General features: G+C 36.8%; 2 protein-coding genes across 94 annotated transcripts in view; one reads left to right on the top strand and one right to left on the bottom strand.

Annotated features, from left to right (window-relative positions):
• Window positions 1-2,141, top strand: part of NEB (nebulin) — a 249,138-nt gene extending 246,997 nt beyond the window's left edge. For all 46 annotated transcript variants that reach the window (XM_011511227.3, XM_011511226.3, XM_005246613.3 and 43 more), the window contains one exon: window positions 1,547-2,141. In XM_011511227.3, coding sequence (XP_011509529.1) covers window positions 1,547-1,720 — 174 coding nt within the window. In that variant the 3' untranslated portion in view covers window positions 1,721-2,141. The remainder of the gene's footprint in view (window positions 1-1,546) is intronic.
• RIF1 (replication timing regulatory factor 1) overlaps window positions 1-27,135 on the bottom strand; it is a 124,534-nt gene that overhangs the window by 46,956 nt on the left and 50,443 nt on the right. For 12 of the 48 annotated variants that reach the window (NM_018151.5, XM_017004422.2, XM_047444868.1 and 9 more), the window contains 10 exons: window positions 26,191-26,342; window positions 25,158-25,238; window positions 25,014-25,068; window positions 21,360-24,596; window positions 19,334-19,480; window positions 18,929-19,006; window positions 18,724-18,839; window positions 17,616-17,769; window positions 13,408-13,516; window positions 5,308-12,623 (listed from right to left, as the gene is read on the bottom strand). In NM_018151.5, coding sequence (NP_060621.3) covers window positions 12,409-12,623; window positions 13,408-13,516; window positions 17,616-17,769; window positions 18,724-18,839; window positions 18,929-19,006; window positions 19,334-19,480; window positions 21,360-24,596; window positions 25,014-25,068; window positions 25,158-25,238; window positions 26,191-26,342 — 4,344 coding nt within the window. In that variant the 3' untranslated portion in view covers window positions 5,308-12,408. Of the gene's footprint in view, window positions 1-4,144; window positions 4,282-5,307; window positions 12,624-13,407; window positions 13,517-17,615; window positions 17,770-17,811; window positions 18,427-18,723; window positions 18,840-18,928; window positions 19,007-19,333; window positions 19,481-21,359; window positions 24,597-25,013; window positions 25,069-25,157; window positions 25,239-26,190; window positions 26,343-27,135 lie in introns of those variants that run through there. The other 36 variants (XR_007077534.1, XR_007077537.1, XR_007077535.1 and 33 more) reach the window with 8 other exon arrangements.

Genomic DNA, 27,135 nt, shown 5'->3' with positions numbered 1-27,135 from the left:
GTATTATTTATAGTAATGTTCCACTTATGCAAAGGGGAAAGGAAATCTATTTGTGAATTTGAATATATGCATGTGATTTTGAATATATGCATGTGAATTTCAAAATGCAAGAAAAAACCATATAGGTTACATCCAAAACTACTAACCAGTGGCTGCTCCTAGGAAGAAACTTTTGATATTATCACTTATTATATACCTCCAAATTATTACAATTTTAACACTGTGGAGGATAGCTTTGAGAAACTTTTACTACTCGTATGCTCCCAAATTCCCAGAGTGAAAGATGACATGCAATAGTGCTACGGGTTTTCAAATTCTTCTCTAAAATACAAGACTGACCTCTTCGAAAGGTAGAAAAAGGCCATAAATAAAATTAGCAGCATATTCTGTCTTTTCTGTCAGTACACACACACGCACATGCGCACACACACACAATTTCATGCATACATAACTTAGTATGAAGTTCATAAAGTGTACAATGATTTTAAGCTTTTTTTCCAACCATCTCCATAATCTAATTTTAGAATACTTTCATCACCATAAAAAAAACTGTATTCAAAACTCTTCTGGTGAATTAAAACAAACAAACAAATGCTGGTGCCCATTGGCATTCATTCTCCATCCCCTTTCTGCTCCATCCAATCCTAGGTATCCATTTCCTGTCACTATATTATTTGGCTACCTAAGACATTTCATATAAATAAAACCATACAATATACTGACCTTGGTGCATGGCGTCCTTTACTTTTGAAGTTCATCCATGTTGTATCATGTGTCAGTACTTCATTCTTGTTACTACCCCATTCTTGTTACTACCCAATAATAGATCTGTATGGATATACCAGATCTTGCTTATGCATTCATCAGTTGGTGGGCATTTAAGTTGTTTCCACTTTTTGGCTATTATGAGTAATGCTGCTACGGACATGGATGTACAAATTATTGTGCAGACCTATGTCTTCATTCTTCTTGGGTATACACCTAGGAGTGGAATTTGCTGGGCCATAGGGTAATGCTGTATTTAACATGTGATAACTGCCAAATTCTTTTCCAAGGTGGCTGCACTCTTTTCCACTTCCACCAGTGGTTTATGAAGGACCCAATTTCTCCACATCCTTTCTAATGTCTGTTATTGTCTGTCTTTTTTATCATCACCATTCTGGCATGTGTGAAGGGGTATCTCATTGTGGTTTTAATAATTTGCATTTTCCAGATGACTAATTTTGAGCATCCTTTTGTGTGCTTTTTGGCTATTTGTCTATCTTTTTTGGAGAAATGTCTATTCATATCCTTTGCCTCTTTTGGTGGGGGAAGGCATTGAGTTGTAGGAGTTCGTCATATGTTCTGGATATTAATTGCCTATCAGATACATGACTTGCAAGTATTTCCTATTTTGTGGGTTCCTTTTACTTTGTTGATGCTTGCACATTCTCTTTTGTTCAACTTAAGTTTGTGGAGTCAGTCATGAGAGATCTTACAAATAGATGTGTGTTAACTGTTGCAAATCCAACATATAATATTTCCCCTTTTCCATCCCCACGAATAGAAAATCTTCCGTGCCATGTATGACTATATGGCTGCTGATGCAGATGAGGTGTCCTTCAAGGATGGAGATGCCATCATAAATGTTCAAGCAATTGATGAAGGCTGGATGTATGGCACTGTGCAGAGGACTGGCAGGACCGGAATGCTCCCAGCCAACTACGTTGAAGCTATTTAGGCATTTCAAAGCATCACACTTGTCTGCAGGACTTACAGATCCTGCAGTCAATGTTTCGGTTTAGACTCTCCACTGTTACCTAAGTTCTCAAGCTGCCTATGGTTTTTCTGTGTCAATGTGATTTATGGTAGTACCATCCTTTCTCCTTTGGGTTTTAAAATAAGTTGCAGAACAGACACTTTAAAAGCTTCTGCAATATTATTTCTGTGCCTAGAGTCTTTCTCCATTATAAACATGTTTTAACATTATTTCTTTTCTAAAACAGGGATTTTGAATATGCCAAACACATTAAAGGAAAAATAGCAGAGATGTTCACCTTTTCCTTGCTGATTGCTAATGCTTATTATTTCTAATTCAGTTCTGAAGTTATAAACTTATAATCAATACAAACCAGCAACTAATAAAACCTCTAATTCTGCAACTCTGTGGATGGAATGAGCATTATTTATGTTTAATGGTTTTAATATCTACCTATAAAAATTCAATGAAGCAAATTGTACATAAAATTACTAAAAAATTATCTAAATTTAAAAAATGTACTGTTATGCCTAAGAGTAGACATTCTCAAAATTCTATCTATACTTGCATTCAGCAAGCTTCTATTACAGTTTTAAGAACATCTGTGGACTCCAATCCTAACTTCAAGGGCATCTTTCCCATCTGTATCCAGTAGGATGGCAGCATGTGGCAAAGGCAAAGGGAGAAGAAGCAACCATAATGGCTTAATGTTTAAGTTTACAGACTGTTCTTCCTAGAAGGTAGGTAAGTCCCTGTAACTTTACAGCCGTAGTAATGCTGCCTCAAGCTTCTTAATGTGTCTGAGACTCACAGGGAGAAAATGCTCTTGTGAAGAGAGCGCACTCACTTGCGAATGACCAACGTACACCTCTATGCCAGGCACTGGGTTAGAGGCTGAAGCTCAAGTGAAGAACAAGAGACAGTTGATGCCCTTAGGGAATTTGCAGACCCAAGAAAAGGCAGATTATGCTTAACCATCCAAATGGTGCCAAATGGTGCTACTCTCCTGCTCCCAAGTCTTCCATCTTGCCTTAAACTGGATAAAAATGCAAGTAGGCAACAATCCTATTGTGATTTCCAACTCCCAAACTTTTAGAATACTAAAGTATATGCTATCTCCATTACAATGAGCCATTTTTTTGTTTGGAGACAGAGTCTCCCTCTGTTGCCCAGGCTGGAGTGCAGTGGCCCAATCTCTACTCACTGCAACCTCTCCCTCCTGGGTTCAAGTGATTCTTGTGTCTCAGCCTCCTGAGTAGCTGGGACTACAGGCGTGCGCCACCACTCTGGGCTAATGTTTGTATTTTCAGTACAGACAGGGTTTTGCCATATTGGCCAGACTGGTCTTGAACTCCTGACTTCAGGTGATCCGACCACCTCAGCCTCCCAAAGTGCTGGGATTACAGGCCTGAGCCACTGGACCTGGCCTGGCTGGTTTAGTTTTAAATTTCCTATTTACTTTATCGGTTTGCCAAGGCACACTTTGCAGGTGCTATTGCAAAGAACAACAGAACCTTTGTCTCTTACAGATTTTTCTTTAAAGCCTGGAAAATGTTCAACATGCAGCTGGCTTTCCAAGATCCTTGAGTTCCACATCCACAAATTCAACCAACCATGAATCAAAAATATTCAGAAAAAAAAAGATGGTCACATCTGTACTGAACAGCTAGACTTTCTTCTTGTGATTAGTCCTTAAACAATACAGTATAACATATTTACATACATTTACATTATATTAGGTATTATAATCAAGAGATGATTTAAAGCACAGGTCCCCAGCCTTTTTGGCACTAGGGACCAGTTTTGTGGAAGACAATTTTTCCACACAGTGGGGAACGAAACTGTTCCACCTCAGATCAGGTGTTAGGTTCTCATAAGGAGCACAAACCTAGATCCCTCGCATGTGCAGTTCATGAAGAATTTACTGCGGCCAGTGAGCTGACAGGAGGCAGAGCTCAGGTGGTAATGCTTGCTCACCGGCCACTCGACCTCCTGCTGTACAGCCTGTTTCCTAACAGGCCATGGACCTGTACCACTCCACAGCCCGTGGGTTGGGGAACCCTGATTTAAAGTATATGGGAGAATGTGCATAGGTTATATGCTAATATTAGGTCATTTTACACTAGGGATTTTAATATCCATAAGGTAGGGGTGGTCCTGAAACCAATACCCCATGGATATTGAGGGATGACTGTATATATAAAAGTAGAGAATAATCCTACATCCACCAACTAGCCTCAAAAATTATCAACTCATGGTTAACCCTGTTTCCTCTCCACCAAACCAATGCACTCCTCTCATTACCTTGTAACTTCCTTATACTGAATCTCATTATAGATTAGTCACCTTTCAGTGTGTATCTTATAAAGGACTCTTAAAACATTAATCACAAGAAAATTAACACACCTTAAAAACTGGCAATCAATATCCAATGTTCTAATCTTCCTGCCATCTGCTTGTGCTTGTTGGTCCAACGATACTAGGGAAGTCCTTTGTATATATCTCCACTACCACGTAGGCTGCAAAGAGCCATCTTCAAGAAACTATAAAAGGGAGAAATTAGGTCTATGGGTTACATCTCAATCAAATCTCACTCAAATGTATGAACTGTATTGTGTCCCACCCTCCCACCCCCAAATTCATGTTAAGTCCTAACCCCCAAGGCCTCAGAATGTGACCTTGTAAATAGGATCCTTGCAGATGCTGTTAATTCAGATGAGGCCCTAATCCAATGGCCTTGCTATCCTTATAAAAGGGAAATTTAGACAAATACACAGGCACATAGGTAGAAAGTCATATGAAGATGGGAGATTGGGGAAATACCTCTACCTGTCAAAAATGGCCAGCACACCACCAAGCTAGCTGGGGAGAGGTATGGGACAGATAACTTCCACACAGTCCTTAGAAGGAACAAACCCTGCTGATACCATATCTCAGACCTCTACTATTCAAAACTGAGACAATACATTTCAGTTGTTTAACTTATTAGGTTTGTGGTACTGTTACAGCAGCCCTAGGAAACTAATACAGTGTCTTTCAACATCACTGTTTACCCTAATTGTTGTTGTTGTTGTTTTCCTTAAAACTATGGAGCTTTTCTTCGGCTGCCATCAACATGCTTGGTTCTGCAGAGGAAGTTAAGGTCATGTTGGGGTGAGGCATTTACTTCATCTGGTGACTAGCCTGGCAGTGCCACCTCTGCCCTCGCCCACACCATGTGGACTGCCTCTCCAAGCTTGCCTGCATCTACTCAGCCCTTATTTGACGAAACCTCTCTTCTAACAAGTTCAATGAGAAACTGAACTCATTAACAACAACAACAACAGAAAAACCACCACCTCTGGATTTAGAAACCAGTGGAACCCATAAAACTATGCATAAATCAGAAAACCTCTGTGGTTAAAAAGCAGGCCATAAAAGGGGAAAAAGAAAAGGAAGGGTTCATGTTTGTGGAGGAATATAACATACACTTTGTGGTATTTGAATTAAACTATTCATACTCATTTCAGATCTCACGAAAACAACAAAACAAAAAACCAAAATGTAGCCAACAAAAACAAGTACCAGAGTTTAGTTTTTATAGTTTTATTTCAGGTAAAAGTGCATTTCTTAAAAAAATGTTTCAATATCCAGTTTCCATTGGCAAGTGATAACAGTTAACCCTCAATGATTCATGAAAAGTTTTACTGTGAATCAAACATAGAATTCTGCCCCCCCTCAACAGTCATAAAGAACCAGAAATAGTAACTGTAAGTGTGCCTACTTCAAACACTGTATAAAGCAGTGGTCCCCTAACCTTTTTTCAACAGGGACCGGTTTCGTGGAGACAATTTCCACAGACACAGGTGTTGGGGTAGATGGTTTCAGGATGAGACTGTTCCACCTCAGATCATCGGGTATTAGATTCTCATAATGAGCGCACAACCTAGATCTCTTGCATGTGCAGTTCACAATAGGGTTCACGCTCCTGTAAGAATCTAATGCCACCCAGGGGTTTGAGACCCCTAGTATAAAGCATTACACAATCAAATAAAACTGACTGCACCATTATTTCCATTATTTGCAGGTAACTGAGGAATGAACAAGTACTTCTGTTAGGCTTCAACTTAAATCATTTTTAAGACTTATCAAATACAAATACTTTGTGAATGTAAAACTAAGCTCTCTTAGCGTTTACCAAATGATCGGGACAACAATATTAGAGGGTTAATAAATGACTGATTTGGCATCTATCAGTCTTTTTGTAAGTGCTATCAGTCAGGTCTATCTACAGGAGGTAGTGCAGAAAGCAACTGATAATTCACAGACCATCAAGGTCCCTTAACATCATGGCAAATACGTAACTGTAGTTTGAGAGTTTAAGTAGGAAAAAGAAGTGTACTTATAAAGTAGTAGTGTTTCCTAGTATCTGTAATTTGAGCAATAGTAAAACACGTAAGTAAAATCAGGAGAAGCCATTCTGGAAAACACAGGGGTAACAGAAATTAAGTAATCAAGACCACATTCTGCCAGCTAGAAGCAAATAACTAAATTGACTAACATGCCATGCATGAGCAAAACCTTCCTCCATAAAAGGGATTGACAAACTCTTTAAAAGGCCAGGCAGTATTTTGACTGTTGGAAGCCATACAGACTCTGCTATACTACTAAACTCAGCCACTGTACCAGGAAAGCAGCTAAAGACAATAAGCACAGCTGTTCCAATAAAACTTTATTTCTGGATACTGAAATTTTAATTTAATATGTTTTCATGTGTCACAAAATGTCCTTCTTTTGACTTTTTTCACCATTAAAAAATGTAAAAACCAGTCTCAGCTCACAGATAGTACAAAAAACAGGTGGCATGCTAGTTTACCAATCTGTGCTCTGTAAAAAACTTAGGAGTTAAGACTGCCATCCTTCAGTTTCTATACTCAAAACCAATTTTGCTCTTAATTGTTTTCTTTTAGAAACTTCCTATTCTATAAAAATAAAAAATTCTTTAGACACTTGTTAGCTATTCAATAGTGTATCAAAATAATTGTTAGACTATACTCTATTTTCAGTTCCATGACACTTTATTTTGAAGATGATCTTCCTAGTTATATGTTGTTTATCCGTTTAAGAAACAAAGCTGCCTTTTGTTGGAAATACTTATTAACTTACTGCTTTTGTGGGAGTATTAATAATGTATTTTAACATAATCTCTCAGGGTATTTATGAACATCAATTATAATACTGTGCTATGTACAGAATAGCTCTCAGAGACTATAGGCTATCAGCTATTTCTGAAGTATACAGGAGTATATAGGACAGCTTGTCTCTCTACTAAATGTACTATGCATTAAAATTCCAGCTCAATCTGCCTTTTCCATTCTCTTCAACTCATCACTTCTCAGTGCATCAACTTCTATCAGCATATAAGCTTGCTGCCCAGTAAATTCAGCTTTATCTACAATTATAAATTGGCACACTGTGGCCAAAAATATTCCCTCTGCTACAAGTAGAGTACAAAAGTTAGAGTTTTTTTCTTACTTGTGACATCAACAATGGAAAATATTGTCTTCAATTTTTTAGGTAAGATGAACGGTTATCTTTTATTCCAACGGTATTTACAGCTTACCATAACACATTTGGTTTTAACTGTTCTTTGGAGAAAGGAAGGCTTAGTATGTAAAGAAAAAAATGATTAGGACCACATCGGAAAATTTAACATTCTATTTCAGAACTGAGTAAATTCTCACAACTGTTTAGACTACTATATTAAATATTTATAGATCTTCAAACTTCAATGACTTACACTTTAACGGCTACTTGCAAAGAGCAATATGTAAAGCCTGGCACATAATATACTTATTAACTGGACATCAGAAAGCACGAAACCCAATTTGTTTTACAGATCAAACTATCAATAAATTTTGATAAATTTTTAAAACCTATTACTTAACTTTCGGCTACATTTTCCTTAGTGCTTTCAGGGTAGTTCTTACAGATTATTTAAATATGTGAGGAAAATCTAACACCTTAACAGAATTCCAAGAAAAACTCACTTTTCGAGAATCATATTATTCAACTCCATCTTTCAAATTTCACTTTACGATGAAACAGGAATTTTCAACCACATAATATAACAGAAAATTAAGTGACCAGAGGTCCGCAGTATAATGACAGGGCATATCTGCTAGACTGACTTATTCATTATAGCACTACTAAATTTAACTGCCAGATTAATATTAGGGGTAGTGTTGATTTTCCATGTTTATTAATAACGATGATCCATAATAGAAGGCAAGATTTATTTAGAGACTAAATATATTCTAATACTTAGAAATCAACTTTTATATTAACAAAAACATAACCCACAAATACTCATGAGAAAATACTTTGTCTACTTTGCCTTATCAATAAGATTCTTTATAACTTGAAATTCTTAGTCTGCCTACTTAAAAAATAAATCGTCCATATTTTTAAAAGGCTCTTAAGCAAAATTCTTAACTTTCTTATAATTTTTGAACTTTAAGCCTTCAAAACCAGTCTGCATCCCCAATTCACAAAATTGACAGTTATAAAAGGACTTGAATCTGCCTGGCTTACCAAAACCTAAAACACAGCCTGAAGCCTCTTAGGCCCATCTACCAGCGCAGTTCACAGGCATCTGCATGAATCACCTGGGACTGTGTTTAAAAAGACTCACGGGGCCCAATGCAGATCTACTGAATCAGAATCCACTTGTTCATATGCACATCAAAGTTTGAGAGTACTATGTTAAAAATCAAAACCTCACTCTAATGTTTCTATACAAAGTACAAGGTCTTTCTAATGGCTTAGGAATAGGATAGACCATGGGTTGCAGCAATGAGGAAACAGTCTCCTCCCCCCACCCAAGTTTTAGTCTAATAATGCCAACTAACTGCTGTTTTATAGCCTCCTAGGCTGAATGACAAATTAACTTCTTGAAAATCAATTATGAAGAATATGAGATGAAACCTAGGCCTTTCTTACTGAATTAAAGTCAAAGTTGGAAGAAAAAAATTAACCCATTTATACTTTCTTTTTAAAAAGCAATTACTCTATTCTCACTCCTTTACACCTTAAAAAAATAAAACTTCACTTATATATTCACGATCCCCACCATTTCCCCCAATTTTGTTTCTTGCCTCACCACTTACTCTTCACATTTTTATGATGTTTAAATTGTAACAGAGTCTTTAACTATCTTATCTTCAAGCTGTACAGAAAAAAAAAAATCCATGGGCAATGTTAGAATTAAACTTTTTTTTTTTTTTTGCGAGACAGAGACTTGCTCTGTCGCGCAATGGCATGATCTCGGCTCACTGCAACCTCCGCCTAAAAGGTTCAAGCAATTCTCATGTCTCAGCCTCCTGAGTAGCTGAGATTACAAGTATGCGCCAACATGCCTGGCTGGTTTTTGTATTTTTAGTAGAGACAGGATTTCGCCACATTGTTCAGGTCAGTTTTGAACTCCTGGGCCAAAGTGATCCACCTGCCGGGCCTTCAGTCATGCTTTTAATGTGCGGGTTTAAATCCTGTTTTTGCCTGTATTATCCAACAGCATTATTTAACCTGATTCATCCTTTAACTATTTGGAATTAGAGTAAAGCTCCATATGATTCAACAATGGTTTTCAAACTTGTACAAGTGGCAAAGCAGCTTTAACAATGAGGTCACTGAAATATTGAAAATTTAAATCCACTCTAAAATCCAAAATAGATTTCATAGATATGGAAATGATGGGCCAGGAGCGGTGGCTCACGCCTGTAATGCCACCATTTTAGGAGGCTGAGGCAGGTGGATATCTGAGGTCAGAAGTTTGAGACCAGCCTGGCTGACATGGTGAAACCCCGTATCTACTAAAAATACAAAAATTAACCAGTGGTGGTGGCAGGCACCTGTAATCCCAGCTATTTGGGAGGCTGAGGCAGGAGAATCGCTTGAACCCAGGAGGTGGAGGTTGCAGTGAGCTGAGATCGTACCACTGCACTCCAGCCTGGGCAGCAAGGGCGAAAACTCCACCTCAAAAAAAAAAGAAAATGGCCAGGTGGGGTGGCTCACGCCTGTAATCCCAGCACTTTGGGAGGCCGAGGCAGGCGGATCACGAGGTCAGATCAAGACCATCCTGGCTAACACAGTGAACCCCTTCTCTACTAAAAATATAAAAAATTAGCCGGGCATGGTGGCGGGCACCTGTAGTCCCAGCTACTTGGGAGGCTGAGGCAGGAGAATGGTGTAAACCTGGGAGGCAGAGCTTGCAGTGAACCGAGATCGCACCATTGCACTCCAGCATAGGCAACAGAGCAAGACTGTGTCTCAAAAAAAAAAAAAGATACTACATGACAATCCTGTATGCCACTAGTTTTTTCTTCTTAAATATGCATAAGACAATTAAGACACATTTGAGTGTTATTATGATCTGACATTTGTTTTATTAACCATTAGAAAAGATCTGAAAAAACGAATTCCATTTTAATAGTGAGACAACACAGTAGAGCTAATCATGGAATATTAATGTTTTGCTATTCGGGAATTACTAAGGGGGAAATTTGCAGGAAACTTTAAGGCAAGAATATTGCAAATAAGTTGCCAAAAATATATGCTTATAGCCATAGCAAAATGAAGATTTAGCATGCTTGTCTTTGCTCCCAAATATTTTTAAATGCAGCTTTATTAAACTATAATGTTTTTAAAATTAATACTTGTGCTTATATAAAATTCAGTGATTTAAGTACATGATACTCATTTGGTCACATTTTCTGCTATTACTGTTCGGCTTCCCAAGAATTTCATTCAATCAGCAAGTTTAGTTCACACAAACGTTAAGGCACAGAGTCATGAAACGAACTGATTTTAATTCTGAAGTGTGTTAAAGTAATCTGCTCCCCTCTGCCCCAAACACATATACATAGCTGCTTATTCATACCTGTTTGCTAAAAACTCATGTGCACCTCCTTACGGTTAAATATAATTTGGGAAATTAATGATGTAAAATGTAAATCATAATTATAATTCCTTTTAAGGAAATTAGTATTTTTCTTTAGTTACTTCAAGCCACAATCCTTAATTCAATGATCCCAGAATTCTTTACAAAACCATCCTTGGTATATGAATATCTTAGACCCAAAAATATCTGTGATTATGATGAATTTATGATGATGAAAAAAGACACCAACTTTTATAGAGATCCCTGAATATACGAGAGCTAAGGAGGCACAAGGATTAAACTTTCTATGACTTGCTGTAGAATGTGTGCCTTGCTAAGTAGGGATTAGCTTCTGAATAAAATGTGAAAACTGAGATCACTCACTCATTCTATTCAAAGAAGAAGTGAGATATACTGTCAGTTAAAAAGATGAAACAAATATGGGAAGTCAGGCACTAATATTAGTTGGCAAATTTTACAAAGGTTTTAATTACATACCTCTTTAAAAAAAGAAAACCTAGGCAACACAGACATATATTAAAAACATCAGTTTCAAATTTCTTCCAAGTTTGCTTTTAAATGAAGGTTTAAAAAGCAGATCAACTCTAGATTTTGTAGTCCAACTTGCTGTGAAATACTGAAACTAACTTTCCTTTAAGAAATCTTAAGGAGGCACACTTTCTAGTGGTGATACCCTCCTCCAAACCAAAAGTAGTAAGAAGGTAAGGGTATGAACAGCAAAGTTGTGTAACATTTTCTTATTTCTATAATTTTACTTATTCTGGATACTTTTAGAAAATAAACTCATGTTTTAACTAAGACTGTTAACCAAGTACAAAACTATTTGTTGTTGCATTTGCAGATACAGTATCCTACAAATATGTGCAGCAAGCCCATGAAGCACTTCCACCGTCGATACTGATATTTCAGTATTTAATATATACAAAATGTTTCTATTGAACAGAACCAAGGTATTCACAATAAGCTGCAGAAAAACCCATGCAATTAACAAAGAATGAAATTTATAAATTAAAAACATTGTCGTCTATACATAATGTACAATCATGCATTTAAAAATGAATACTATACGTCTCATAAGAATAAATTTTCAGTCAACTGCTGCTGCATGAATATTTGCTAATGCAAATGAATAAAATCTTAGTAAATTCTGCATTAATATTTTAACCGCCAGAAGTTGAAACTTTTCTCATTTTTCTTGAAAGCTGTCCAAAGTTGACATATGCAGGAAAAATTCAAATTCTTTCGCATTTCATTTGAGGTTTTTAACCAGTAACAAACTTCCTAAACCTCAGTCCCAACAAACATGAATTAAACAAACCAACAAACAAAAATATAAACACCTTTATCAGTTCAGCAAAAATTCAAATAAAAATGTTCAATTTTACTTAAAGTATTTTACATGTTTCACCAGAATATGCACGGGTTTAAGAAAGCATGAAATAAAATGTAAGTTCTGTTACTAGTTTTGCTTTCACATCTCAGTAAGATAATTAAATTTCCTGAAAAACCACGCATAGCAGCCAAGAATACATATTATGAAAAAAAAAAGGATCTTACATAATGAACTTACAAAATTGAACTTACATAATAAGTCACTGTCCTTCAGGGTTTGAAATGTTATCAACTTTGCAAAGAGTCTCTTCTTTGAAATTGTGCTATTATTTCAGAACTTGTTTCCTCAATCAAGAAATCCAGTGATGTTTAAAAAAACCTTCAATTTTCTCTGAAAATACTAAATAGAATTTTCATGGGATGGTGATCTCCAACGTGACTGTAGATTTTTTATTACAGAGTTTGCCATACAACTTAGTTTCTCGTGCATTTCAAATAGTTGGCTTCCTGAATAATTATGAAGATCTTCTGAATCCAGCTGAAGAGCAAGAGCACTAATCTGTGCCAGAAGGTTTTTGGATAATGGAATTTCTAAAGCAACAGGATCAATTATATCTAAAAGAGAAAAAAAAAACCACAATTAAATCTATACCAGACAAAAATTAAATTTTTTACATGATCTTTTAAGTTAGTCCAAGTGCCTAGGTTTCAAATTGAGAGAGCAGGCTTAAGTCTTCATGAGGACAAGCACACAAAAAAATCTACCAGAGCTGCCGCTGCTGCTTATTATTATTATGAGATGGAGCCTCATTCTATTGCCCAGGCTGGAGTGCAGTGGCGTAATCTCAGCTCACTGCAACCTCTGCCTCATAGGTTCAAGCCATTCTCCCGCCTCAGCCTCCCAAGTAACTGGGATTACTGGCATGCACCACCACATCCAGCTATTTTTTGTATTTTTAGTAGGTGCTGGGTTTCATGTTGCCCAGAGTGGTCTCGAACTCCTGACCTCAAGCGATCCACCCACCTTGGCCTCCCAAAGTGCTGGGATTACAGGCGTGAGCCACCATACCCAACCTACCACTGCTTATTATTCTGTGCTATTCTCATAGATTATTCTGTGCTATTAAAGAAATTTAAAAATGGTAGACTACTTCATTTATTAATATAACTAGAAGAGAAAGTGTATAGTTTAAATCCTTGAGACCTTGATGGAGAAGTTGACAAGAAAAACAAGTAGACACATTTGATGTCCAATCGGTTAGTTTTTCATATACTTCACATTAAACATAAAATAATTGTTGAAATAAGGCATGGTCAAATCAGACTAAAAAAAATAACATATTTCAAGAAAGTCAGCTGATCTTCTAAATAAAATTATCCCACTTTTGCTAAAATATACCTGAGACAAGTCTTTCTTCATCAGGTGACAAAGATTTATTTTCTATTCCATTTACTGTTTTTTCAGAAATATCAAAAACTGGAATCTCTTCTAGTCCACGAGTCTTCACCTTGATTACAGTTGGAGCAGAAAAAAACGCAAAACAACAACAACAACAAATTGAAACTTTACTTTTAATAGGAGTAATAGTACAAACACTGGAAAACATTGCATAGAACCTATGTTCTACCACCCATCACAATTAAGAGCTAATACTGCTAAGAAAGTAGGTTCTAACTACACAAAATAAAGCATTACAAAGTATTTCCTCAAAGAGAGGGTTAGAATTTAACAATATTTCATAATGGTTTTCTCAGGAAATATAGCCATGGCAGCTAAGAAAATTACATTCTATTTCCCAAGTTTAAGAATGTGGTATAAAAAAGTCTATACCAGAGATTTCCAAGCTTAAATAAAATATAGAATTTTTTTAAAAAAAAGAACACAATTTTCTGGCTGGGAGCAGTGGCTCACCCCTGTAATTCCAGCACTTTGGGAGGCCAAGGTGGGTAGATCACTTGAGGTCAGGAGTTCAAGACCAGCCTGGCAAACATAGTGAAACCCCCTTCTACAAAAAACACAAAAATTACGGTGCCTGTAATCCCAGCTACTCGGGAGGCTGAGGCAGGAGAACTGCTTGAGTCCAGGAGGTGCAGCTGCAGTGGGCCGAGATCATGCCCCACCTGCACTCTGGCCTGGGTGACAGTGACACTGTATTTAAAAAAAAAAAAAAAAAAAAAAGGATACAATTTTCTTAAGTGTTCCTAGGACGTATGGACCACTGATTGAGAAAATACTAAGTTCAGAAAGTTAACTTTCTGAAAATAATAAGTTCAGTAACCACATGACTCAGCAATTCCACTTCTAGGTATATATACAAGAGAAATGAAATCATCTATCCATATAAAAACTTGCAGACACAGCAGCATTATTCGTAATAGCAAATGGTGGAAACAACCCAAATGTCTGTCAACTGGATAAACAAAATGTGGTATATACATATAATGCATATTATTCAACCAAAAAAAGTCCAGGACCAGATGAATTCACAGCCGAATTCTACCAGAGGTACAAAGAGGAGCTGGTACCATTCCTTCTGAAACTATTCCAATCAATAGAAAAAGAGGGAATCCTCACTAACTCTTTTTATGAGGCCACCATCATCCTGATACCAAAGCCTGGCAGAGACACAACAAAAAAAGAGATTTTTAGACCAATATCCTTGATGAACATTGATGCAAAAATCCTCAATAAAATACTGGCAAAACGAATCCAGCAGCACATCAAAAAGCTTATCCACCATGATCAAGTGAGCTTCATCCCTGGGATGCAAGGCTGGTTCAACATATGACAATCAGTAAACGTAATCCAGTATATAAACAGAACCAAAGACCAAAACCACATGATTATCTCAATAGATGCAGAAAAGGCCTTTGACAAAATTCAACAACACTTCATGCTAAAAACTCTCAATAAACTAGGTATTGATGGGACGTATCTCAAAATAATAAGAGCTATTTATGACAAACCCACAGCCAATATCATACTGAATGGGCAAAAACTGAAAGCATTCCCTTTGAAAACTGGCACAAGACAGGGATGCCCTCTCTCACAACTTCTATTCAACATAGTGTTGGAAGTTCTGGCCAGGGCAATCAGGCAAGAGAAAGAAATAAAGGGTATTCACTTAGGAAAAGAGGAAGTCAAATTGTTCCTGTTTGCAGATGACATGATTGTATATCTAGAAAACCCCGTTGTCTCAGCCCAAAATCTCCTTGGGCCAATAAGCAACTTCAGCAAAGTCTCAGGATACAAAATCAATGTGCAAAAATCACAAGCATTCATATACATCAATAACAGACAAACAGAGAGCCAAATCATGAGTGAACTCCCATTCACAATTGCTTCAAAGAGAATAAAATACCTAGGAATCCAACTTACAAGGGACGTGAAGGACCTCTTCAAGGAGAACTACAAACCACTGCTCAATGAAATAAAAGAGGACACAAACAAATGGAAGAACATTCCATGCTCATGGATAGGAAGAATCAATATTGTGAAAATCGCCATACTGCCCAAGGTAATTTATAGATTCAATGCCACCCCCATCAAGCTACCAAGGACTTTCTTCACAGAATTGGAAAAAACTACTTTAAAGTTCATATGCAACGAAAAAAGAGCCCGCATTGCCAAGTCAATCAGAAGCAAAAAAGACAAAGCTGGAGACATCATGCTACCTGACTTCAAACTATACTACAAGGCTACAGTAACCAAAACAGCATGGTACTGGTACCAAAACAGAGATATAAGCCAATGGAACAGAACAGAGCCCTCAGAAATAATACCACACAGCTACAACCATCTGGTCTTTGACAAACCTGACAAAAACAAGAAATGGGGAAAGGATTCCCTATTTAATAAATGGTGTTGGGAAAACTGGCTAGCCATATGTAGAAAGCTGAAACTGGATCCCTTCCTTACACCTTATACAAAAATTAATTCAAGATGGATTAAAGATTTAACTGTAAGACCTAAAACCATAAAAGCCCTAGAAGAAAACCTTGGCAATACCATTTGGGACATAGGCATGGGCAAGGACTTCACGTCTAAAACACCAAAAGCAATGGCAACAAAAGCCAAAATTGACAAATGGGATCTAACTAAACTAAAGAGCTTCTGCACAGCAAAAGAAACTACCATCAGAGTGAACAGGCAACCTACAGAATGGGAGAAAATTTTTGCAATCTTCTCATCTGACAAAAGGCTAATATCCAGAATCTACAAAGAATTATTCAACCTCAAAACGGAAATTTTTGAGGATAAACCTTGAAAACATTATGCTAAGTGAAAGAAGCCATTCACAAAAGATCACAAGTTGTACGACCCCACTTTTATGAAATATCCAGAATAGGCAAATCTATAGAGGAAAAGTAGGCATTGGCTGGACAGTGGAAATGAGGAGTGATAGCTAATGGGTCAGTGTTTCTTCTCTGGGTGATAAAAAAAAAGATTCAAAATTAGATCATGGGGAATATTATTTAACTCTGTGAATATATTAAAAACTAACTGCACCCATAGGGTAGGTGAATTTTACACGATGTAAATCATATCTTAATGAAGCTGTTAAAAAAAACCTAATTCTCATAGACTTTCCCAAGACCCATGGAAACTGAGTAAGAAAATACTTTAGAAACTAAATTCAATCTGTGAGACAGAAAATTACTAGTAGTATTGGTTTTCTGAGTAACCAGTTAATGAATGTTTAGAAGATCACAAATAAGTTAATATAAAATCAAGGACCTTCAAGAATACAGCAGAAGTCTTCAGTGGCTGGCAAACCCCAGGTCTGAGAAATTCTGATTCAGAACACTGCTTATTCTATTTTTCATTTATTCAAAACTTCTGATACAGGTTGAGTATGCCTACTCCAAAAATGGAATCTTTTTTGGATGGAATGGAATCCAAAATTTGAAGCTTTTTGAGCACTGACATGATGCCCAAATTCTCTAATGAGCGTTTTGGATTTACAGATTAGGGCTGCTAAACTGGCAAGTAGCTGCATAATGCAAATATCTCAAAATCGAAATAAATCTGAAGTCCAAAACATTTCTGGTCCTAAGCAATTCAGATAAGGAATACTCAACCTGTAGTGTCAATGGATAGAGGGTCTCTGAATGGGTTTCAGTAGTCTGTGAATCCTTCTGAAATTATATACAAAATTTTCTATATAGTTTTACAGCAGGGAAGAATCTTAGCTTTCATCAGAATCTTGAAAAATGCCCATGACCCAAAATGTTCATATGCACAATACTGACAAAAAGGAAAAATAAGAAAAATAAGTCACAAATGTGGTAGGCATCCAAACCAAAATACTGTGACCTACAAATCTGTATGGTTTTGGTAGATGTTTGGATTTGAACATCTAGGTTTTAGCAGTAGCAGCCATGGAATCAAATACCGAATGGTGGAAATGAAAGAGAGAAGGGGATGAACAGAATTTAATGAAAAAACAATTTAAAAATTTATCTGAGGTGCAATGCATAAAGACAGTACAAAATAAATGAATCAATTTCCCTGTGCCATTATGAAGTGATCTTTTAACAAACTTCTGTAACTGTACTGCTACATCATTTATTAATATACATCATAGCTAATATCTAAGTTTTTACCTGCTGCTCATGATATATTCTGAGAGCCTTTTTTACATTGGACACTTTTGGAGAACGGATAGGAAGAGTTTTTATTTCAGATGCTGTAAGAGTACTCAAATCACCAATAGTTTTTATATTCTTAGCTCTAATGAGTTGTCCCAGGCCTCTTGCCCTAAACAAAACAGAAACAGGAAATTATAATTATATAGTTTTATTTATATGCTATTTGCAAGGGTTTATCCAGTTCAATTTCCCCATTTAAGCTCAATCATAACTGAGGTTAGCCCACAGTGAAGACAGGCACATGTATGTGTAATTTAAAACAAAATTCGAATCTGATGTGTATGTCTGGTATAAGCAACAGTACTGGCAACTGAATGAGCCCACTGCGTGCCTTGTGCTTCTACATACATCTCATTAATAGATAATTCTTAAGTACACATAATCCCCTCCCCAACTTTAATCAGAAATGGACTTGGTATGTCTGATACATATTACTGCATCATTAAATTCCTCAGAGAAGTTTAAGAATACTTCATCTCCTATTGGGGATTATGCTACGACAGGGCAGCTTGATAATTCAGTTAAAGAGAAACTATCTCAAGGCATCACAAACTACCTGAAATAATTCTTTTAATCAAGATATAGTGAACGATCTACATGCACGCATTTAAGTTTCCAAGACTTAAAACATCAAGGAAACAAACTTGTAATTAGAAACAAAACAAAACAGCTGATGAACAAGTTTTATGTATGTGAGTCTCATGCTTCTTACATGTGATGACTTAACAGCTGTGTGGTTTTGCTGGTAATCTTTGTAAACTTCATCCTATAAAGTAGAAATGATATTCATATTCCTCATAAGGTTTATATTTGGATTAAACAAGATAATGATATAAGGGTTCAATGCAGCACCTGAAATATTATGCATACATCTTACTATACTAAATGTTTTTCATATTGCCTTATCTGGCCTACCTTCTCAGTTGCATTTTTATTTCAAAAATAAAATGTGTGTGAGAGTACATGCCAATCAATTCTAAACATGAGAACCAAGCAATCAGATAAGTCCTCTTAAATAAGTGGCATCTTGGAATATAAGCAAGAAGCCTAAATAACCACTTACCACATGTTTGATGTAATCTGAGGTAAAATGATGTCAACTGGTGCCACACAGTTCACCAATGGTGGGTAAACACTTTCTGTTGGGCATGGTATGGATTCTTTGGCCATTTCTGAAATCTTAGAATAAATTTCAGAAGCTGTTACACAGAGGTCAACTGACTGAACATGAAAATATAAAGTGACATGAAAACTAAAGCACTTCTTACTAAACACTTCTTTGAGCTCTTAAATTTAGGGCTACGTGATCCTGGGGACAGAAATCCTTTGGCTGAAGTGGTATTATGCTAGATAGAAGAAAGGAGAGAAAAAAACACTCAGAACCCTAGATGACTATAATTTCACAATTTTTACAACTTAGACTGCAATCATTTCTTTAAAAGTTCAAAAAACATAAAAAGAGTAATCTACTACCTAATCAATTACTTGCTGGATCATTACTGCCTCTTACCTTTCTGCTTCTCTTCCTTTCTGCTTACCGTGTACCAGACAAAAGAATATATTTTAAACCAAGGAAGAAGTTTTTCACATATATAGTTCATTTTATGACACATCATGTACATGTAATTCTGTGTCGGTATACATATATGTATATTTTAAAGCCTATAGCTTACCTTAGATTGTGTAGTAGGAGAAGTTTTAACACTTTTTCCTATGGGAGAACTATTGGAAGAATGGGACCTAACAATAGAGCACCGTCTATCAATGTCATCTGCCAATCCTGCTTGGTATATTGGATCTGCAAAGGAGACACGGCGAACCTGAAAACACAGGTCAGGATTTTACTTAACAAAATTAAAGTTTTTAAAAAATTACACCATAAATTTTCATTATGAGGTTACCCAAAAATAGAATGTGGGTTTAGAAAATTTATTTCACCAGAAGTCAGCTGCACAGTTCCTAGCGACTGCCTTCACAGATCACATTAACTCAATACCACAATTCACTCTAATTTTCTATATTTTAAACTGTCTCTGCATAATACCAAAGATTGTGAAAAAGGCACAGTAACAAAAACTTAACGAAGCCAGATGTGGCAGTTAAAAGTGTACGATCTGATTCTAGGAACTTTATGGGATTACCAGACTAGAAAGAAGACTGATGTAAAAACAGAAATGTGCCAGGCGCAGTGGCTCGCACCTGTAATCCCAGCACTTTGGGAGGCCAAGGCGGGTGGATCTCGAGGTCAGGAGTTCAAGACCAGCCTGACCAACATGGTGAAACCTTATCTCTACTAAAAGTACAAAAATTAGCTGGGCTTAGTGGCACATGCCTGTAATGCCAGCTACTCAAGAGGCTGAGGCAGGAGAATCGCTTGAACCCGGGAGGCAGAGCATGCAGTGAGCCAAGATCGTGCCACTGCACTACTCTGTCTTACAGACAGAGTAAGACTCCATCTCAAAAAACAAACAAACAAAACAAAAAACAACTTAATCTCTAGATTCTCAGCAGAAGAATTTTCAGTGTATCTTGCAAAGTTCAGACACATGAATAAGAGTAACAGGGATTTTGAAAGAACATTTTTTTTTCTTTTTTTGAGAGTCTCGCTCTGTCGCCAGGCTGGAGTGCAGTGGCACAATCTCAGCTCACTGCGACCTCTGCATCCTGGGTTCAAGCAATTCTCCTGCCTCAGCCTCCTGAGTAGCTGTAACTACAGGTGTGCGCCACCAGGCCCAGCTAATTTTTGTATTTTTAATAGAGATGGGGTTTCTCCATGTTGGTCAGGCTGGTCTTGAACTCCCGACCCTCAGGTGATCCACCTGCCTTGGCCTCCCAAATCCCATGCCTGGGATTACAGGTGTGAGCTACCGAGCCTGGCCAAAGGAATACTTTCAAAGTGTTGTTTGTTGAAGGCAAAAAACAAGGTGTCATGTCTATATATTCATGCTTGTATATATAAAATGTATTCTACAATGAATAGCAGGTTCAAGTTCAAAATTAAGGAATGCCAACATCATACCTTTTCAGGATATCTATTTTGTTAAGTATAAGACAAGTTGAGTTACGTAAATACATTTAACTTTTCCTATTTTTTTATTCATTCATTCAACAAACTATGTGCAAGGCACAAGGCCTGAAGCTAAAGCAGATATATAGATAATCCATCTTTTCTAAAGTAAAAGATCTATAATTTAGCTGAGGAAATGGGGATATAAATAACTAAATAAGATCACATCTACAAGTTGATGAAGGCACATGAGTTTTTTTTTTTAATTAGATATGGTCTGGAACATGTATGTAAAACGTAAAACAGCATAATGTTCCAACACACAACTACTAAATCTGCTTTATCAATGGCAGTGTTGCCTGCATTCCTAAATCTGTTTCCTCATATGATATTATGGTATGGGGAGCAGAAAAGATGCTAGGAGCCTTATCAATTTTGCCAAAGGTGAACAATGTGCACAGCTGCATAAAGATCTTTAGTGTTGTAAAATGAAAGACTTATCTAAAAGGCTTCAGTCTCCTTTTTTCGAAACCTTTTCTTCTACCTACCTTTTCCCTAGCAACCATTATGGTAAATAATCAAATGAGTGGCCATATAATTGTAATATTTTGTCATTCACCAGAGGTCACTGTATGGCCAAAATATCCCAACCAAATACTGGGTTCCTTAATATTTAGCCTCATTCCCCTTACCTTATTAACAGGTGATGAGATTTCATCTTCTTGGGATCTTTTTAGTCCTCTCTTTAAAATGCTCGTAGACGGAGAAGCCAAAGGAGACCAGACACAGCGTGTCTGCATGCCACTAGGACTGTCATTTGCTGACACAAGTGAAGGATCAAGTTCCCTTAGTTTTTGAGGAGATGCATTATTGTCTTCTATTATTAGCTCAGAGATAGCTGTTCCAGATGCCAGACACTGTGATGGTTCCTCCACTTTCTGTGAAGTATGGTGATCTTCCTGTAAAATATCACTTTCCATTACCATTTGATTGTTATCTAATTTTTCTTCAGATTTACTATACTCAGTATTTGTTTCAGTTTTATTAGCGTCAATGATTCCTTCTTCAGTGCTCATTTCAACTGTGTCACAAACAAAGTTGTCCATTTCTGCAGTCAACATGTTTGTTTCAGCTTCATCAGGCTTTGAGGTTTTGGTAGTTATGCCCTCATTCTCTGTTTCACCATCATGGCCAGTTTCAGCCATTGCCTCGCCGATCATCATTTCTTCATTATTTTTCATTTTGGTATTCGTTTCTTCAGATGAGTGTAGATCAGATACATCATTTCCTCCATCTAGTTCCCCAGCTGCTGTTTGTTCAGAAATCTCAGTTTGAGCATTCAATTTTACAGGTGTAGTATTATCAGAAAGACTAATATCTGAATTAAATTCCTCAGTTGCTACTTCTTTGGCATTCAGTTTAGCTGTGTCTGCTTCAGAGTCATCATTTCTTTTATTTTCTTCTATTGCTGCTTCTTCAGAAATACCAGTTTTGGTTCTCTCTTGTCCATGAAAGCTAGCTTCATTTCCTACATTCAATTCCATAGTTTTTGCTTTCTCTAGATTGGATTCTGTTACTTTACATGCATTTCCTTCAACAGTAACATTCTCTAGACTCAGTTCCATTTTTGGGGTTTCTTCTGGTTTTTCTTCTTTTGTCTCCAAAGATTCCTGTGAAACATTTTTCGAGTCTCCTAAACACGGGCCAACAGTTTTAAAATTTTCATTAGGTGACTCCTGGCTTTCAAGAGACATTGCTTCACTAGAATCCATATCACAAATTTCCTCTCTAAAGTTTACTATTCCAGAAGGAAGAGATTCTTGCATAGTGTTTTCTTTTGATTTGGTTTCAGAAACAATTAATGAATCATTAATAGTATCATTATCCTCTTTGAGACCCAAATGAAAATTCACACTATGATGTTCATCTAAAAATTGTCCTTCAGAATATGGATTAGCTTGAGAAGTTTCTGATGGGCTTACAGGTGCTTGCACATCTGCCTTTTTTGTTTCACTAATCTCTACGTCATTATTTTCTGTATTCTTTAACCCAATGAGTGACTTTTCCTGAGGTTGTGATTTTTCCCCACAGCAATCACAACCTTTAGATCTCCTCACCCTCCTACTTCTCTTGTGTTGGCATTCAAGTGTTTGAAAAGTTTTTTCTGAAAGCGAAGAAATATCTGATATCCCTATTTTTGAGGATTCTCCCAAACTACAATTATCAAAAGAGTCTCGCTTATGTAATCTCTTAATGGCATTTCTAGTCCTTAGATTTGATTCTGGCACAGGTAGACTTGTAAAGGAATATTCTGCATATTTGCTAGTTTCATTTTTTTCCTCACACACATTTGGTAAATCATCAGGAACTTGCAACAAATCTGAAGTTACTGTAGAATCCTGACATATTACAGTATTACTTTCATCTTGTTTTTCGCAAATCGGAGATTTTATGCTTACATCTTCTTCAGAAGTTGCTTTATAATCATGTGACTGATTTTCAGCTTTTATACATTCCTGTTTCACCACTTTCTCTTCTTGATCTTGAATGTCAACACTTTCATTGCTTTTGTTTTTCCATTTTCCAGATCTCTTCTTCCTAGAACCTTCTTCTTTTGCCTCCGAACTATCAGATTCTGAGTTTTCAATGCTGGAAAGCAAACCCTGAGATGCTCTTCTAGTTTGATACCGTGTTCGGCCTCTGACTAGTTTCTCAGAGGACTTATCTACAATGTCCTGGGTACCATCCCCCTCAGACTTAATGTTCTCAGGGTCTGCCTTTTTTTTATTTTGTTCAGTTTCTGCATTAGCACTAGTTTCCCCAAGAGTCTTCTCATGTAAATTACTTCCTTTCTCAATTAAATTCTCCTGTAGAGTTTGTTCAGCAATCAGTTTTTGTTTAGGTAACACATCATCTTTTATATGCAATGGACTCTTCTGAAGAGGTTTTTCTTCTTCCTTACGTCGTTCCTTTTTTTGATGACTATTTTCCTTATCTTGGCTTTCAGTGGTAGACTCTACTACTTCTGAACGTCGCCTTGAAGACCGTCTAAGGGTTTTCTGATTTGGAGTTATCTGAACCTGACTATCCTCATTTACCATTTGATCTGCTGATATTACTACTGGGGGTGTATTCTCTTTGGATTCCAAATTAATTTCTACATTTTTCTCCTCTACAGTATTAGTTTCCAATAATACAGCATTTTCCACTGTTGCTGCTTTAAGCTTTGTATTGTCATGCTCCATTGTAGATTCAGAAAGATGAACCTGATTATCTGACACACATTCTGTTTGATTAAGCAAACCAGGTGGGTTATTTTCTAAGACTACAATGCCTTCAACAGATTCCTCAGTATTTTTCTCCGGCTCAGATCTCATTAAGGGCTTAGACCTTTTATTCCCTGTTTGTTCAGCTTTACCAGCTCTCCGGCTTGATCTCTTAGTTCCATTCACTATTTTTTCAGAATCAGATTTTGAAAAAGTCCCTTCTCTTTGCTTTGCTTTTGGTAGAAAATCTGTTTTAATCATGGTTTCCTGGTTATTTTTCACTGTAACAGTTGATGAAATATTATTCAAGGGGGATGGACTAAAAGGTCTATTTTCTGAACCATCAAACTTCTCCAAAGTAATAAAGGTTTGCCTCCGACTTGTAGGGTATGGGGGAGTTCCAGCAACAGTGGTATTAGAAACTGAACTACTGCTGACAACGAAAGAATTTTCTGTACTAGATGCACATTCAGTTGATGTTTTCCTTGATGAAATTAAAGCTTTTTTTCTTTCATCATTATTACTGTTTGACATTTCTGGACTGGTTTTGTCAAGAGAACCACACTCATTATTCGAAAGGGAGGACTTTTCAAGATGTTCAGCCATACCACAGTCTTCCGTGACATCTTGAGGAATGACAATGTCACTGTCCATTTGCTCCTCCTGCACAGAAATATATACATATATATACACACACAGATTAATAACCAGCAAACGAGTTTGACTTTCTGGGAAAACTTTAGTGTAAAACTTCGGTAACCCAAAGATAATCACTGACATTCAATATATGGCAACTATTCCAAAGTTAGTGGTAGATACCTAACAGTTTGTGTTCCTAATTGTAAATATTCAAGAAAAGCCAAGTACATTTATTTTATACACACACACACACACACACTGACTAGTGTCTGCTGATATTCTGCTAGTATCTGAATGGGAGTTAAAAGGAAATCATACAATAAATCTACAATAAATTTTAAAATTAATAAAGGGAAGACCTACAGACATTTCAGCAGTTTAACAGACTGTATAATGGAAGGGTGATTCTAAAAAGCCCAAAATATGAAATGTCAAACATACCGTAATCATCATCTTAGAATCCTCCTTTGGTTTTCTGGTTAAAGTAGGAATTTCCCTGAAATAAATATTAGTAAGAATATTATTTTTATAATTATTTGAAAATGAATAAAACAGATATAAAAGTTTGATGGCTTCTGTACTTACATAGGCTCTTCCTGACTATACTGAGTAAATAAGGTATCTTGGGAAACATCCAGATTATTATACATGGCAGGAATATCACACCTGAAAAAAACTATATATAAGTAACTTCAAAAACCGGATGATATTCTTACAATTAGAAATTAAACTTATGGCCAGGTACGGTGGCTCACGCCTGTAATCCCAGCACTTTGGGAGGTTGAGGTGGGTGGGCTGCTTGAGCTCAGGAGTTCAAGACCAGCATGGGCAACATGGCAAAATCCTATCTCTACAAAAAATAAAAAATTAGCTGGGCATGGTGGCGTGCATCTGCAGTCCCAGCTACTTGGGAGGTTGATGCGGGAAGATCACTTGAGCCCGGGAGGCAGAGACTGCAGTGAGCAGAGATCATGCCACTGCACTCCAGCCTGGGTAACAGAGAGAGACTCTGTCTCAACAACATAAAACAAAACATAAAAAGAAACGAAAATTACAGTTCTACTAAATTGTTATAAAATCATGACCTAAATGCGTATTTCCCACCTCAGAGAAGAAATTCAGTTTATAAATATTTGGTACATTACTAGGTAGCTTTATACATTATGAAATGCATTTATGTAAAGTATAACTTTTCGCATTAAAATTTAGTACACGTGGCCGGGTGTGGTGGCTCACACCTGTAATCCCAGCACTTTGGGAGGCCGAGGTGGGCAGATCACGAGGTCAGGAGATCAAGACCATCCTGGCTAACATGGTGAAACCCCGTCTCTACTAAAAGTACAAAAAAATTAGCCGGGCGTGGTGGCACATGCCTGTGGTCCCAGCTACTCGGGAGGCTGAGGCAGGAGAATAGCGTGAACCTGGGAGGCGGAGCTTGCAGTGAGCCGAGATGGCACCACTGCACTCCAGCCTGGGCAACAGAGTGAAACTCCGTGTCAAAAAAAAAAAAAAAAAATTAGTACACATATTTTAGTTCTAAACACAAAGTTACACTTTTCTTGCATGAAATCTAAGCCTGAATACCAAATACCCAACTCAAGATAAAAGGCCTACAAACCGCTTTGTTTTGAGAACTTCTTTTTGATGATCAGTTAATATTCTTTCCTTTGCATCTTTTCCTTCTGGAGGTATAAACACAAAGTCAGTAGACTTTTCCTCTTCCAAAAGAATTTCACCCTTTACTTTTAAAGACGAAGATTCAAGTTTCAGCTGCAGATTTGAAAAAATAAGCAAATGTACATTTTAGCTTCCAAATTATTTTCCAATATTTCTATCACTCTCCTCTAATAATGACACCATTTTTCAATAGTGATTATGAAAGTTGATGATACTCATGATCCGTAACAAATTAGTACAATGTTCCCCACTTTCTTTCTGCCTCTAATAAATACTAAGAAAGTAGACAGTATTAAACCTCTTTACGAAGTAGGGAAGTCTGTGCTTAACTACAAAGTATGGACAAAACCGTCTGTCAGGCTAACACATGGAAATGAACTGATTTGGCAGGAGGAGAGTATATTTGCAGCTCTCAAGTTGAGGCATGACTTAGTGAAAGTCGCCAATACAAAATGCCCTACATACAAGTAACTTTGGTACTACAATATTATCTTAATAAATGTTCATTGGAACCATTGCTTTAATTCTATTTATAGTTGCTACAAGAATGTGGCAGAGGTATTCTTAAAAAATAACACTTTTCTTTCATTTCACCAGGGCCATGGTCTCAAGATTCTAGAATAACCTTTACTGGAGGTCATGGAAGAGAGAACTGTTGTCTAAAAGTCAAGTTAACTGGCAACTAGCATGAGCTAGTTGATAAGAACATAGGTGTCTTATCTAGGCATTATTTATTTCTATTCAAAATATTAAGTTCTAAAATAACAATAATCCTAAACAAAAGTTCTAAAATATTTTCTCTTGTGCTACCTATGTTAGTCATTCATAACTAGTCTCATTCCATCTCAAGGGGGCTGCTGCCTGGAATAACTACATGTAACAGTTG

Source organism: Homo sapiens, chromosome 2, assembly GCF_000001405.40.
Source record: "Homo sapiens chromosome 2, GRCh38.p14 Primary Assembly".
Classification (NCBI taxonomy): Eukaryota; Metazoa; Chordata; class Mammalia; order Primates; family Hominidae; genus Homo; species Homo sapiens.
The sequence above is the reverse complement of the archived record's forward strand: the minus strand, read 5'-3'. Positions and strand labels throughout refer to the sequence as shown.